At 35.6% G+C, this 14,021-nt stretch overlaps 1 protein-coding gene across 54 annotated transcripts in view; it reads right to left on the reverse strand.

The window, feature by feature from the left end:
- Positions 1–14,021, reverse strand: part of PUM2 (pumilio RNA binding family member 2) — a 103,563-nt gene that overhangs the window by 16,505 nt on the left and 73,037 nt on the right. For 27 of the 54 annotated variants that reach the window (XM_047443807.1, XM_047443803.1, XM_047443815.1 and 24 more), the window contains one exon: positions 13,388–13,624. The exons of 21 other annotated variants lie outside the window; for them this stretch is intronic. In XM_047443807.1, the coding sequence (XP_047299763.1) occupies positions 13,388–13,624 (237 nt within the window). Of the gene's footprint in view, positions 1–5,467; positions 13,263–13,387; positions 13,625–14,021 lie in introns of those variants that run through there. 6 more of the 54 variants (XM_047443830.1, XM_011532724.3, XM_047443829.1 and 3 more) reach the window with 2 other exon arrangements.

Genomic DNA, 14,021 nt, shown 5'->3' on the forward strand with positions numbered 1-14,021 from the left:
GAGCAGAGATTGCACCACCGCAGTCCAGCCTGGGTGCCAGAGCGAAACCGTCACAAAAAAAAAAAAAAAGGCATGTAATTTAAGAAGCTATCTTACACACCAAAATCACTAAGATCAAATTCTTGTTTGGTCCAGTTATACTTAACTATCTCAGCACCCATGCATGATATTCAAAACGTTCAAGAGTTCAGTGTTTCAATACTGTCTCACTACTGCCAGCCTTTCCACTTCCATTATTTGTTTACGTATTTCTAACTGTTCGTAACAATAATTGATCACTAGCCCATCTGATTCTTTAAAATTGGGTCCTTATCACATCTGCACAGCCACTGGGTTTTCTCTAGCATCTTTGCCCTTTTAGAAGGGCAGGGGTGCTTTGCTTATCATTTCAATTTGGTTAAAATTTTTTCTTAATCAGCTGAATTTAAGATTCACCAATCCAATTTTATACACATCAATTGTATTTTTCCTTTCAAAGTCCATTTTTGATGATGTCACTTTATGATAAAAACCTACAGCATCCTGATAAGAGTACTTGCTCTAAGATCTTCAACCTAGTTTTCAAGTCATTAATCCAAACCTATTTTTCACACAAATTTCTTAGTAGTACCCTAACTGTTCACATCCCCCACCCCACTTACTCGTTACTATTTCTTATCATTACCTCAAACACCCTTAATGCATTAAAGATTTTCGACACCAAATTCAAAATACGTACTCACCCCAGGAAATGAAGAAGCCGGTTTTATTTGGTACCTCCCAAATATCCTGCCAATAAGCAACAGGAATTTCTCCCATATCTAGGTATTCTTTTATTGATATTCTATCAGCTCCTAACAACAGAACTCCTGTGCACATCGTATACAATATCTAATAATATTACACTGCCTTGAATTTTAAAAAACCATAGACATTCAGTTCTAGAAGACTAAGTGGTCTTCTCATATATGAAATTTACAAATTTGGCCAGGCGCGGTGGCTCACGCCTATAATCCCAGCATTTTTGGGAGGCTGAGGAAGGCACATAGCTCGAGGTCATGAGTCTGAGACCAGCTTGGGCAACATGGCAAAACCCCATCTCTACAAAAAATACAAAAATTAGCCAGGAGTGGTGGTGTGTGCCTGTAGTCCCAGCTACTTGGGGAGGGTGAGGTTGCGAGGATCGCTTGAGCCTGGGAGGCAGAGGTTGCAATGAGATGAGATTGTGCCACTGCACTCCAGCCTGGACAACAGAGCAAGACCTTGTCTCAAAAACGAAACAAAACAAAACAACAACAACAACAACCCCCCCACCAAAAAAAAAAAAAGAGAAAAAGAAAAAAATATTCTCCAGAAACTAATTCACTGAAAGGACGAACTATCACCAATTAATTTCACCCAGGGAAGCATACCTTTTCTCTCACAAATAAGTGTGTAAAACCCAATTTTTAACATACATTAGACATTTTAAATTTTGTTGTCTAAATATTGAAAGCAGGTCATCTAAAATATCTGGAGATTGAGACATTCTATGAAACAGGCCTATACCCTTTAAAAATGTCAAGGTCATAAAAAACAGAAACAGTTCGAGATTAAAGAAAAGAGCAGTGATGAAAGTAATCCGTGATCCTCAATTTGACAATGGGCCCCCATTGTCAATCTCCCTTTCTCTTTCTTATAAAGGTAATCAGTGTGATAAGTAGCAAAGTTGGAATAAAGTTGGCTGCTTTGATTAGTGGTTTATCAGTGTTAATTTCCTGACTTCAGAAATTGTGGTTATATGAAAACATATACTTACTGTCAAGAAACATACACTAATGTACTTTTGAGTAAGGGACATCATGCCTGTAACTTTTTTTTTTTTTTTGAGACAGGTCTCACTCTGTCACCCAGGCTGGAGTGCAGTGATGCAATCTTGGCTCACTGCAATCTCCCCTTCCTGGGTTCAAGTGATTCTCCTGCCTCAGCCTCCCGAGTAGCTGGGATTACAGGTGCGTACCACCATGCCCGGCTAAGTTTGTATTTTTTTTTAGTAGAGACGGGGTTTCACCATGTTGGCTAGGCTGGTCTCAAACTCCTGACCTCAAGTGATCTGCCCACCTCAGCCTCCAAAAGTGCTGAGATTACAGAGGTGAGCCACCACGCTGGCCCACTTGCAACTTCCTTTCAAAAGTAAACCCAAATAGTGTTGTGGATGAGGGGAAGAAGAGAGGGAGAGAGAATCATACAGCCAATGTGATAAAGCGGTAACATCTGGAAAACATGGGTGAAGGGTATAGTTTTGCAATTTTCCCATTAGTCTCAAATTATCCCAGAATTGGTTAAAAACAAACACATAAACAGGTCATCCATATTCATACTTCTGCTGCTGGTAGTCTAAAAGCAGCTATGTTCTGCACCAAAAGTATTAAAAGAGATAAGGTCTTTTCATTTCGTCATTCAGTCCCCACTATCATTCATGACTGTTTAATCACTATCTGCCTAAGAGTGTATATAGGACATGTAGATCAGTACTATAATTCCACAGATGAGGTCACTATGGTCCAATGGTCCAATGGTCCAAAAGGTATGGGACATGCAGCTAGTCAGCCAAGACCCTTAGGCCAGAGCTTATCTCATACGACAGTGTGCCAATCTTCTGTGCTATTTACATCTTTCATGTTCATTCATGAGAACTTTAATTGGTTCCAGGACCCACACAAGAAACCAAAAATCTGTGGAAGCTGAACTCCAGTAGTTTAGCCTTATGTAAACTATGGATACGAAAGGCAAGACCTCCGTATCTACAAGTTTCACCTTTATCCAAGGATGCAGAATCTGTGGAGATAAAGCAGGTCCTCCGCGGGGCAAGGGGTGCTGGGGGAGACCGTAAGTGAAACCACCACAAAATAAAGAAATCTGTCTAGCCTTCATTTTTCATTATTTTCTACCCTCTGGGATTGGAATGACAGCTACTCAATCTATGAGGCCTGTTTAAGAATACAGATTCCTGACCCTTACTTAAGACATAGATAATTACTCCTTCTGGAAAATCCACCTGAAGGATATTCTGATAGAAGAGTATGGGGACTAATTAATTAGAATAAAAATAATTTAATTCTTCATTTTACAACAGATTTTCAACTAGTAATTGCAAATAAAAATCAAAGTAAGTATGCCCCATGCGGTGGCTCAGGCCTGTAATCCCAGCACTTTGGGAGGCTGAGGTGGGCGGATCACTTGAGGTTAAGAGTTCAAGACCAGCCTGGCCAACACAGTGAAACCCCATCTCCACTATATGTATGTGTAAAAAAATTAGCTGGGTGTGGTGGCGTACGCCTGTAGTCCCAGCTACTCGGGAGGCTGAGACAGGAGAATTGCTTGAACCCAGGAGGCGAAGGTTACAGTGAGCAGAGACTGCACCACTGCACTCTAGCTTGGGCAATAGAGCAAGACCCTGTCTAAACAAACAAAACAAAACAAACAAAATATATATATATATATGTATGTCAGATACATTTAATACAGCTCATGCACACAGGGTGAATGCTGAAATAAAAATATAAAACAGAAGTTACAGAAAGATAGCATTTCTTTCCAGATTAATATATAAATGACTCAAATGTGTGGGGCATTTTCATTTTTTTCCCTCAGAATTTAAAATTTTTTGTATGTCTATTGCATGTAAAGTATAAATCTTTTTTTGTTTCTGAAATGTGGCAGGTGGTTGGACTATTATTTTATGATACATCATTTGTAACACTGCTGTATGAGAATGCTATCCTCTTAATAGCCTATGAGGCAGACATATCTCCATTTTACTTGTGAGACAACAGCTTAGAGAATCTAAATAACTTATCCAAGAAAGCACAGCTAATAATTAGGCTGAATTTTTGTTTACCATTATGTCTAAAAAATTCATGTAAAGTTGTCAGTCATACTCTGCTATGCTTCCTAGAGAATGTTTAATCTCACATGCCATTCTTAAGTCTGCAAAATGACTGAAGCTACATGAGGTATAAACTGAATAAAATTTTAATAATAATAATAATTATTATTATTTTTGAGACGGAGTGCCACTCTGTCACCCAGGCTGGAGTGCAGTGGCACGGTCTCAGCTTACTGCAAGCTCCGCCTCCCAGGTTCACGCCATTCTCCTGCCTCAGCCTCCCGAGTAGCTGGGACTACAGGCACCCGCCACCACGCCCGGCTAATTTTTTTTTATTTTTAGTAGAGACAGGGTTTCACCATGTTAGTCAGGATGGTCTTGATCTCCTGACCTCGTGATCCACCTGCCTTGGCCTCCCAAAGTGCTGGGATCACATGCGTGAGAATGCTTATAATAACTATACATTTGCCATATAAAGACACAACAATTTTATTGGAGGAAAGACTAAGACTACAATGAGTTTAAAAAAACAAAGTGGGCATATTTAAAAGTATAATCTTCCACATCATTTTAATAGGCTGTTATAAAAATACACACATGTCAAACGTACTACCTTAAAACTGTTAATTTTATGACAATATGCAAGCAAACATTAGATGCAAATTACAAGCCAAGTGTTCTAAAATACAAAATAAAAATCTGTTGTTTCCGTTTCTATTGCTTGTGATTCTTTTCTATCAGCAATTTTTAAAAATCTTACCTTTTATTATAGTCTTTACTGGTTAAACTTAAAAAAATAAAGGGCAGACTATCACCATACAAGGTATTTAACAATCTTCCCTCATTCATCAAGGGGAATTTAAACAGACTAAGTAATAACATACTTAGTTAACATAACATAGTCTTCAGACTAGTTATGACATCATTTCCATCAATAACCCACCCTGTCAATTTCCATTACCCTATCAAAAGGGGGTAATGTATAGTTCCAAAAGTTGCCTCAATTTTTTATCTTTAGTGAAAACTACCTCCTCTTGTGACTGATGGACACAAGAACATTTTAAAAAACCTACCCCTAACCCCGCAAAAGAGTAGTAGTAGTAGGATGAGTTCGAGTAGCCTAATAGGAACCTGTTGGCTTTTCCCTGCATATGTCATATGACCCTGTCAGATTTGGCCTAAATTCTTTCCTTTGGTTAATACATTTGGTAATAAGTTAACAAACGAGCAAGCCATATCTGAATTTCCTTTTAAATATTCCAGCTGAGATTTCATGGCCAGTTGCCTTTCTGATTGGAGTGAAGAAAAATTATAGGAGCTGGGATTGTTTCTCTTAAACCATGATTACTAAGGATTTATGCAATCTTAAAGCTTGCTTCAAAAGCTGTGAATACTGGAATAAATTCTGATCCTACACAAACATTATGGGTACATTTATTGTCTCTCTTGATGGGGTCATTGTGGTGGTGGGAAGAGGGCTGAAGAACTGGGAAGGTAAAAAACAAATAAACACACACACACACAAAACAAAAACTCCACAACTGACTGTCAAAACTTCATTTTCATAATGCAATGTTCTAAAGAGTATGATCTTGGCACACTGAACAAAGAAAACACTGATTGAGAACAGCCAAATAATGCTTTAATATAGTAATCTATGTAGGATACCAAGTAATTTTTAAAAAGGAAGTGTCCTTACTCAATAATAAATTCATCAATAAAACAAAGAAACAAAACCACTCAAATTCAATTACCCAAACATTCAATGAAATCTGAGTATTTTTAGTTGTAGAAAAAGGCCTGGGCTTTCTTGTTTCTAATCTAGTGGAGAAAATAAACCTAGAAACAATTCCATTATAATCCAATGTGTGCTAATTTTGGTTCAAAAAACCCATAAAGGAAAATAATTCCAATGAAATCACTATGTTTCTACAGAATAAGATTATGAAATAAAGTGAAATAAGACAAGAACATTACAATCATTATATTGTAACTGCTGTTTTTATCTGTATTTACCACAAAGCTACAAACTCGATGACAGTGAATAAGGATGTTTTTTTCTCCTAGTCAAGCAGAGGCTGGCTTCAATATTGTATTGAACACAGATATTCAATATTGAATAAGTAACAATTTTAATCACATAATTCTAAAAAGGAGTCTAATAAAACTATAGAAAAGATAAAATAGCAATTACTTTCAGTAATTAGAAATAAAAACAAAACTTGCTATTTATATACTATTTACAGTATTTTAAAGTATTACAAACAAGATTCTTTTCTGTTTTTCTGAGACAGGGTCTCGATCTGTCATGCCCAGGCTGGAATGCAGTGGCATAACGTCGGCTTACTGCAACCTCCGTCTCCTGGGTTCAAGCGATTCTCCCACTTCAGCTTCTCAAGTGGCTGGGACTACAGGCACATGTCACCGCACCCGGCTAATTTTTGTATTTTTAATAGAGACGGGGTTTCGCCACATTGCCCAGGCTGGTCTCGAACTCCTGAGCTCAAGCAATACTCCCGCCTCAGCCTCCCAAAATGCTGGGATTACAAGCATGAGCCACTGTACATGATCAGTTTTAACTTAAAATTAGTAATGAAATATTTAAAAGACCCTTAAAGTAAATAGCATTTAATTTGGATTAAAGATCAATTGTTAGCAAGTGAAAAACCCAAAAAAGCCAATAACACTGACATTCAAACTCACTTTTTCCACAAAGTCACAATAGGTTAAATTATATTTTACTACAATTTTATAAAAAGTTTACAAAGATGTGAAACATAGGAAACATGGTCCTTTTAATTTATTCGGATAGGTATTAGAAATAAAAGCATCCTGACCAGGCATGGTGGCTCACACCTGTAATCCCAGCACTTTGGGAGACCGAGGCAAGTGGATCACCTGAGGTCAGGAGTTCAAGACCAGCCTGACCAACATGGTGAAAACCCGTCTCTACTAAAAATACAGAAATTAGCTGGGCGTGCTGGCAGGCGCCTGTAATCCCCACTACTCAGGAGGCTGAGGCAGGAGAATCGCTTGAACCTGGGAGACAGGCTGCAGTGAGCTGAAATCGCACCATTGCACTCCAGCCTGGGGGGCAGAGCAAGACTTCGTCAAATGAATGAATGAATGAATGAATGAATGAATGAATAAATAAATAAATAAATAGAAAAGCATCCTTTGAGAAGCAGTACAACATCTGGAAGAAGCCAGATAAACGTGGGCTCAAAATTTTGGTTCTGCCTCTTACTAACTTCATGAATATAAGTCACGTAATTTCTTTGAGAATAAAGCGTGTTTGTGTGCATATGTGTATGTGTGGTGTGAAACAGAAGTCAAAGTTCATTCCCCCTCATTTGGATATTCAACTACTCCTGCCCAAGTCACTGAAACACCTGTTTTTCTCATATACACTGGAGTGGCAACTTGGTCATTAGGTATCTAAATGAGTAGGTCTATTTCTGGATGCACTACTCTGTTCCGCTGTTCTATTTATTTATCCTTGTGCCAATACCGTAGTTTTAGTTACTGTAGCTTTCTAAGTTCTGGTATCCAGCAGTATTAAGTTTTCTAACTTTGCTTTTCAAAACTGTCTTCACTACTTTTGGTTCTGCTTTTCCATTTTCATTTTTTGCATCAGCTTATCAATTTCTTTTTAAAACCTAATTTTATTGATAGCGTTCAATCTTTAGACCAACTAGAAGAAAGCTGGTATCTTTATAATAGGGAGTCTTTCAACCTAAAATATGGTATGTCCTTCCATTTATTTAAGTCATCTGTAACTTCCATCAGCATTTTATAGTTTATAATGTAAAAGATCTTGCACTTCTTCTGCTGGATCCATTCCTAGATATATCACAACAAAACCAACTCCAGTGAAAATATTCTCTACATATAAGAAACAACTTTTCAAAGCCATTCTAAGAGATATATGCTACTTTCATTTTTATGTTATTTGGCTAACACTGCAAATCTCTCATGAAGCACATCTGCCTGTATTTTAAAGGCTACCTTTTGATCCTTAGGGTACCTTATAAGCATGGTGGGATGGTGTAAATTACAGGTGAATTCTTGGTAGATTAAAATAATCTCTGCCAGCTACAAATTATTTCAAGTCAGTGTTTTCATGTGGAGGCTACTGAAAATTTCAGTGGGACGAAACTATTTTTGTGCTGACTATGCAAAGTATAACATCTGGCTACCAGGCATTTAATGCCAATAGAATCCCCACAATCATTGTAACGAGCAAACCCTGTTGCCGCACATTTGCAAACTGTTCACATCCTTGTGAAGTCTACTACGAGGCATTTTAAACAAGTGGCCAGAGTGATTCTGATGCCAAAACACAGGATGGGATCAAGTATTTTCTAGTCTTCAGTTTGTGATTATCTTAACTAAGTAAATTAACTGGTGAAAACTTTCTCAGACATTAGAACCACAATGTCACTGATAATGTTATTAAAGGATAATAAATAAAAAATTAGTAATCTAAAACAAGTACAACCAAGATCAAGACATTTTTATACAGAAAACCAAACATCACAAATTCTTCCATACAACTAGTAACGTAATTTCTTCAAAACATTATTTCCTACTCATCAGCAAATAAATTACTTCTAGGTCTACCAGAGGGTTGTAGCTGTTTTTCAATTTATATTAACATGAGAACCTGTAAGTAAGATTCTGTTGAGAGTCGGGTGTGCTGCTCTATACACAGTCCCTAAATTGCCTGCCTTAGATTAACAAGTATTCTTATTACAAATAAGAAGTACAAATATAACATATGTGCTTAGACAAGTATTTTTATCTAAATCTCAAGAATAACTAAACTGAGAAAGGAACCTAAAAAGCTGGTAATCCTATACATACTTTAACCAAAGAAAAGCATAACTTATACCATAATGAGGTAATCATTAGATTCTGAGAGGCTAATTAGAATAAGTTATTTATATACTTTGTAAAATTGTTCAGTTCCTATAGAATAGCATAATGGAAAAACGAAGAATAGTATCACGAGTCAGAACTGGATGCTAGCCTTAATTCTGTTATTCACTGGTTTGGGAAAGTCTATTAATCAACTGATCTTTAATTTCTTCATCTTTAATCAACAAACCACTCTGACAGTCTATGCCAACAATTAGGATGAAATGAAATATGAATATGAAGGTGCTTTAAGAAAAAAAACTATCGAATGCTATTCAGTTACAGAGAACTGTAACTGCTAAAGGATAACAGTATTTTCAGTGAATGCTTCGAATAATTCATATTGTTTTCTGCTTTCATTAATGACTGTATGTGAAACTCAGAAAAATGGCAGGTGGCCTTACTATCAACTTTGCAGTACTAATTTTACTTCTCTGAATATTTTATCATAAGAGAAGCACAAGACTAAGTCTGCCAAAGGCCAGCAATTTAAACAGAATGATTCTAAAAATTTATAATATCTTGCCTATTATTAAAATTTTCTGTAACTGGAAGACAGGTTAGGAAATTTTATAATCCACAGCAAACTAAAGCACAGCTGTTTACCTGCTGAATACATGACATTCTTCAGACTTCATAGTCCCCTTTCAATAAATTTTACTGGGTTCAAAGCCCACATTACACTTTAGCACCCTTTTTGTTAAGAAAAAAATAGCTAGTTCAAAAATGAAGAGGTACAGGGCAAGAAGCCGTTAGTTTGTCAAAACCTAAGTTAAATAACAAAAATACGAACACTGCTTTATACCTAGTAAGTTCCACATCAATCAAATTACTATGAGCACAAAGACTGGAGTTAAAAAAAATTATCAACACTATATTTAAAAAGTTTATTAGAAGAAGGAAAACAAGGAAAGAACTAGTCAGCTAGCTCCAGGTAGAAAAATAAGGCAATACTAGAAATATTTAATGTTCTTCACAACAAGTGAAGTATCTCCAAAAAAAAAAAAAAAAAGATGCTTACTTCTATCCTAGACAATGATGTATAAAACAACTGTAGGTAGATTGCCCCCCTCCTATAGATTAATACAACATGAGAAAATAACTCAATATTTAATATTGAACCTGAAGCCCAGAATTTTACACTGTTCTCTGCATTTCAGGGTATAAACTATTAATCCTAAAATCATTCTCTCTCCAAGTTGTTGTCAACAGGAGAACCAATATAAAGGGGCTCCAAGGGGCCAAAGAAGGTGTAATTTTAGAACCAAAAATAGATATAAAATTGATGTCTTACACTGCAATGAACTGAAACATATCAATTATCCCCAAAATCTACCCATTTGTAGATAACAATGAGGATAAAAACACGAGTCACCTTTAAAAGTTGCTAGGGCATCAATATTATTCTGAAAGTAAAGGAAAGAATCTTGCATTATTCTGACTCTTACATGAACTGTCATCAGTTGTAACCTTACAACTGATGAGGGATAGCTATTCTTCTTTATAGAAAAGTTCCAGATAATAAATGAATAAAGAATGACACAATTAACAAATTATCATTTTGCAACCTCTGGAAAAAAAATTATCAAAGGCTGCTAAAACCATTAGGTGGATCAGGCTGGTCATCTCACAATGGAGACAACCAAACACGTGTCTCCCGATACAGTGCAACAAAAACTAACAGAACCCCATGTTGTCAAAATAAACCAACCAACCCATAAATTATCTGACCAAGCCTCTAGATCGAATTCCAGTTTACAGGAAAGAGACATAGGAACATCTTAAATACTACTATGGGGAAGCAATCAGCAAGGTCAAGAGTGTGGGAAAATAAATAGGATAAAGTTTCTTCATCAAATAAATGGAAAGGGAAAAAAAAGATGAAGGAAAAACAATTACACATTAAGACATATCAAACAAATGCAATGTATGAACCTTATTTTGACTGTGATTCAAATGGAACAATTGTTAAAGACATTTAAGTCAATTAGGGAGATTAGAGTTAATAATAAATTATTTTAAAATGTATGATATACTGTAGTTATTGTTTTGAAATAGAACCTCAGATATTATACTATAAAAAATGGAAGAATAAAATTTTTTCATGCATCTAACTTTAATATATTAGAATAAGCAACAGAGCTGCAAATTTGAACAAGTGTTTTAGATTTTTATAAAAAAATTAACACCCCAAAACTATGCACTGAAATTCTTATACTTCAACCCAAAAGTGATTACTAGTCATCCTGCTAAAAATACATGTGTTGGTTATAAGCCTATCTTAAAAAATGAAAACTTTTTTTTTTTTTTTTGAAAGACAGCACAGACTGTTGCTACTGGGCATTTTCTGTGAATCTCAAATAACTAACACTAACAAAGGAACATACTTTGGGGATGCAGATCTCAAGCCTTACAGGTAACTGTAATGGTTGTAACATTCACATCTTAAAATAAAATCTCCCAGAAAAATAATCTGGAATTAATTCCAACCAATTCTAATGAGAATTGAGAGAACTTATCTCTATCTCATGATTTCATATTCTTGATATGTGAGCTCAGTAAAATTACTTTAAAAATATGCAAATTCCATTTCCATAAGTCTTTTATACTATCAGCCTTGAGACTTGATTCATAAAGAAATATTTTTCTTTTTTTTGGACAGCCTTGCATCATGATCCATTCATAGGGAAGTGCAGAGTAGATTATTTCCATGAATAGTATGCAAAAAGAAAATTTATGAAATCCTTCAAGTTATTTTCAGTCTGGCATGGGTCTATTTGTTGTTAACAATGTTGCCAGTCATACCACCACTAAAACTATGGGAAACTGGGGGTCACAAAAAGAAAATAACACAGGTAATTGCTAATTCCAATCAGAGGTGTATTAAAATATCAGATTTCAAGCTGAAGCTATGTTAGTCTATAATGCAGAATGCTGGCCCAGTGGTGATTATTTCCCACAACTGACCAGAATTCCTTCCCTAAGCATCTATTAGGCTGCTTTCTTTACAACCTAAAGAAAGGTAGAGAAGCACATATCTAGATTGCTGTTCAATCATAGAGACATCTAAAAAGTCATTTATATCCGATTTCTAAGCAAGCTGTGTAGAACCTATTTACTGCCATTTATACAGGCACTAAAGCACAACACAGCAGTTAAGAGCTGAACAAGAATCTGATCTGAAACTTACCTATGAAAAGATGACAGGACATGACAAAATCTTAACAATAAAACAAAAAACTATTATGATAAGTCTTAGATTTGTTGTGTTCCAAATTTTTGTGTCCATTTCATAGGCATGTCTTATGAAGGGAGGATGCCTGGGCAGTAATAACAGAAATCAGGAGCTGAGCAGCTCCTGCGACTAAGAATACATGATAAATGAAGAAAGGTATTAGGCTAAAGATAGGTAAATCTACACATCTAGTACTGCAAAGTGGATCTTAGGGCTCCATTTGAATACATTAATTGGCTGTATATGTTCAGTATCAATACCCCAAATGAGCAAAGGCCCAGAATTTGGGGTGGAAGACCAGAGTCTTTAAAAAAGAAATCTAGCCCAGTGTGTGTGCAATAATGTAAATCAAAATGAACACTGCAACAGATACCTTTGTTACATGGACATTTATTGTATTAGTAAGTTTTTTTGCTTGTTTTTGTTTTTTTCTTTTAAATAGCTATACCCATGTAATTGGAGGGGGTGGTCAAACATAATCACTAACTTACAGTACATCTGCTTACAGTAGCAACATTACTTTTTAAAACACAAGCTGATTTAAATCTTTCCAATTACATAAAAGCTGGCAATAGAATCCCTCAGTTTCAGCTGAATAACTAGAATTATAAAAATTCAAAATAAAGTTTTAAAAAAATAATTTCTTTGACAAGATAGGGATTCATACACAGCCCCTGATATCCAAAGCCCTTCAAAACGTATTATCTACATGGATAAATACTTCCTGGAGAGGGAAAAAAGGTAATCACCAATTTAATAATTTGGGGGTGGGAACAATTTTAATATACAAATATAAACAAAGTTCTCAATGCTCCAACTTCAGGGGTACAACAAGCCTAAAACATTTTTTTTCTTTAACATATCCAAAAAAGAAGTATATGGCCCAAGCCTATAAGCTTCCTTAAGTGACAAATACACTAAATTCAAATTCACTGAAATAATTATCTGGTAAAATGGCCAGGCATAGAAAGACCAAAGCAAAAACCAGTGTACTAACCTAGTTCAGTAGCTATGTAACTAATGTTTTTCTTATGGTGTGCAAATCTTTTGATAGTGAAATTTCTCTTTCACTATTATGTTTATATAGTTGACTTTTCAGATGCTCTAAAACACACAAATCAAAAGCACAGACAAGAAAAAACACACCATTATATTTCATAAAAAAAACATAAGAAACAATAGGGGGGTCTTTACCTTATTGTACATTAGACCCTCACTTTGAATTTTCAGGAAAGTAGAACTTTTTCAAAAGACTAATATCTAAAAGCAAAAGCAATTTGGCATGTTTTAACCAACATTAAATATTTTACATATATTATAAACACACACACAAACACACATACATGTATACATACAAATAAAAAGGGTTTTGGTTTTTTTTTTACCTAAATGCAAACTGGATGAGGATCCATGTGATGAAAGTGATGGCGGTGGCGTAAGTGAATGTCCTGGAGTTTGGCTTGGCAGAGGCATGCCTATTGGACTTGGAGAGGAGGAAAATCCCAGACTATTGTAAAATGGTTGCCCTATGGGTGCTAGGCTGCTACTAGATCTTTTGTACAAGTCAGAGCTAGTAGATAGAGACTCTCTCCTTGTGGCACTACTACTTGCAGAACTGCCAACTGAAGAAGAAATAAAAAAAACCCTAATTACATACAGTGTTAACTGAATAAAATCTATCCCCAACTCTCGCTGGGCAATAACAGAAGTGATCACAATAATTATTTTTAGAAACATTTTGGAGAAGATAATTACTGTGATAACTATATATACTAACTTATTAATCATAAAAGGGTATAAATGCACCCCAATAAAGAACCAAATACTTAACAGAGCAGTCATATGATTCATTATTTCACACATATTTACCACTGACACATCTGATTACTGTGCTTTAATACCCTGGTATGATTTATAAACCCTGGAATTGCAAGTTGTCTGCATTAGGACATGCTAGAGATTAAATTCCATTAAGTTTAAATTCTGATAGTATCCTAATCTCTGAAACCTGCTTCTTAG

Source organism: Homo sapiens, chromosome 2, assembly GCF_000001405.40.
Source record: "Homo sapiens chromosome 2, GRCh38.p14 Primary Assembly".
Lineage (NCBI taxonomy): Eukaryota > Metazoa > Chordata > Mammalia > Primates > Hominidae > Homo > Homo sapiens.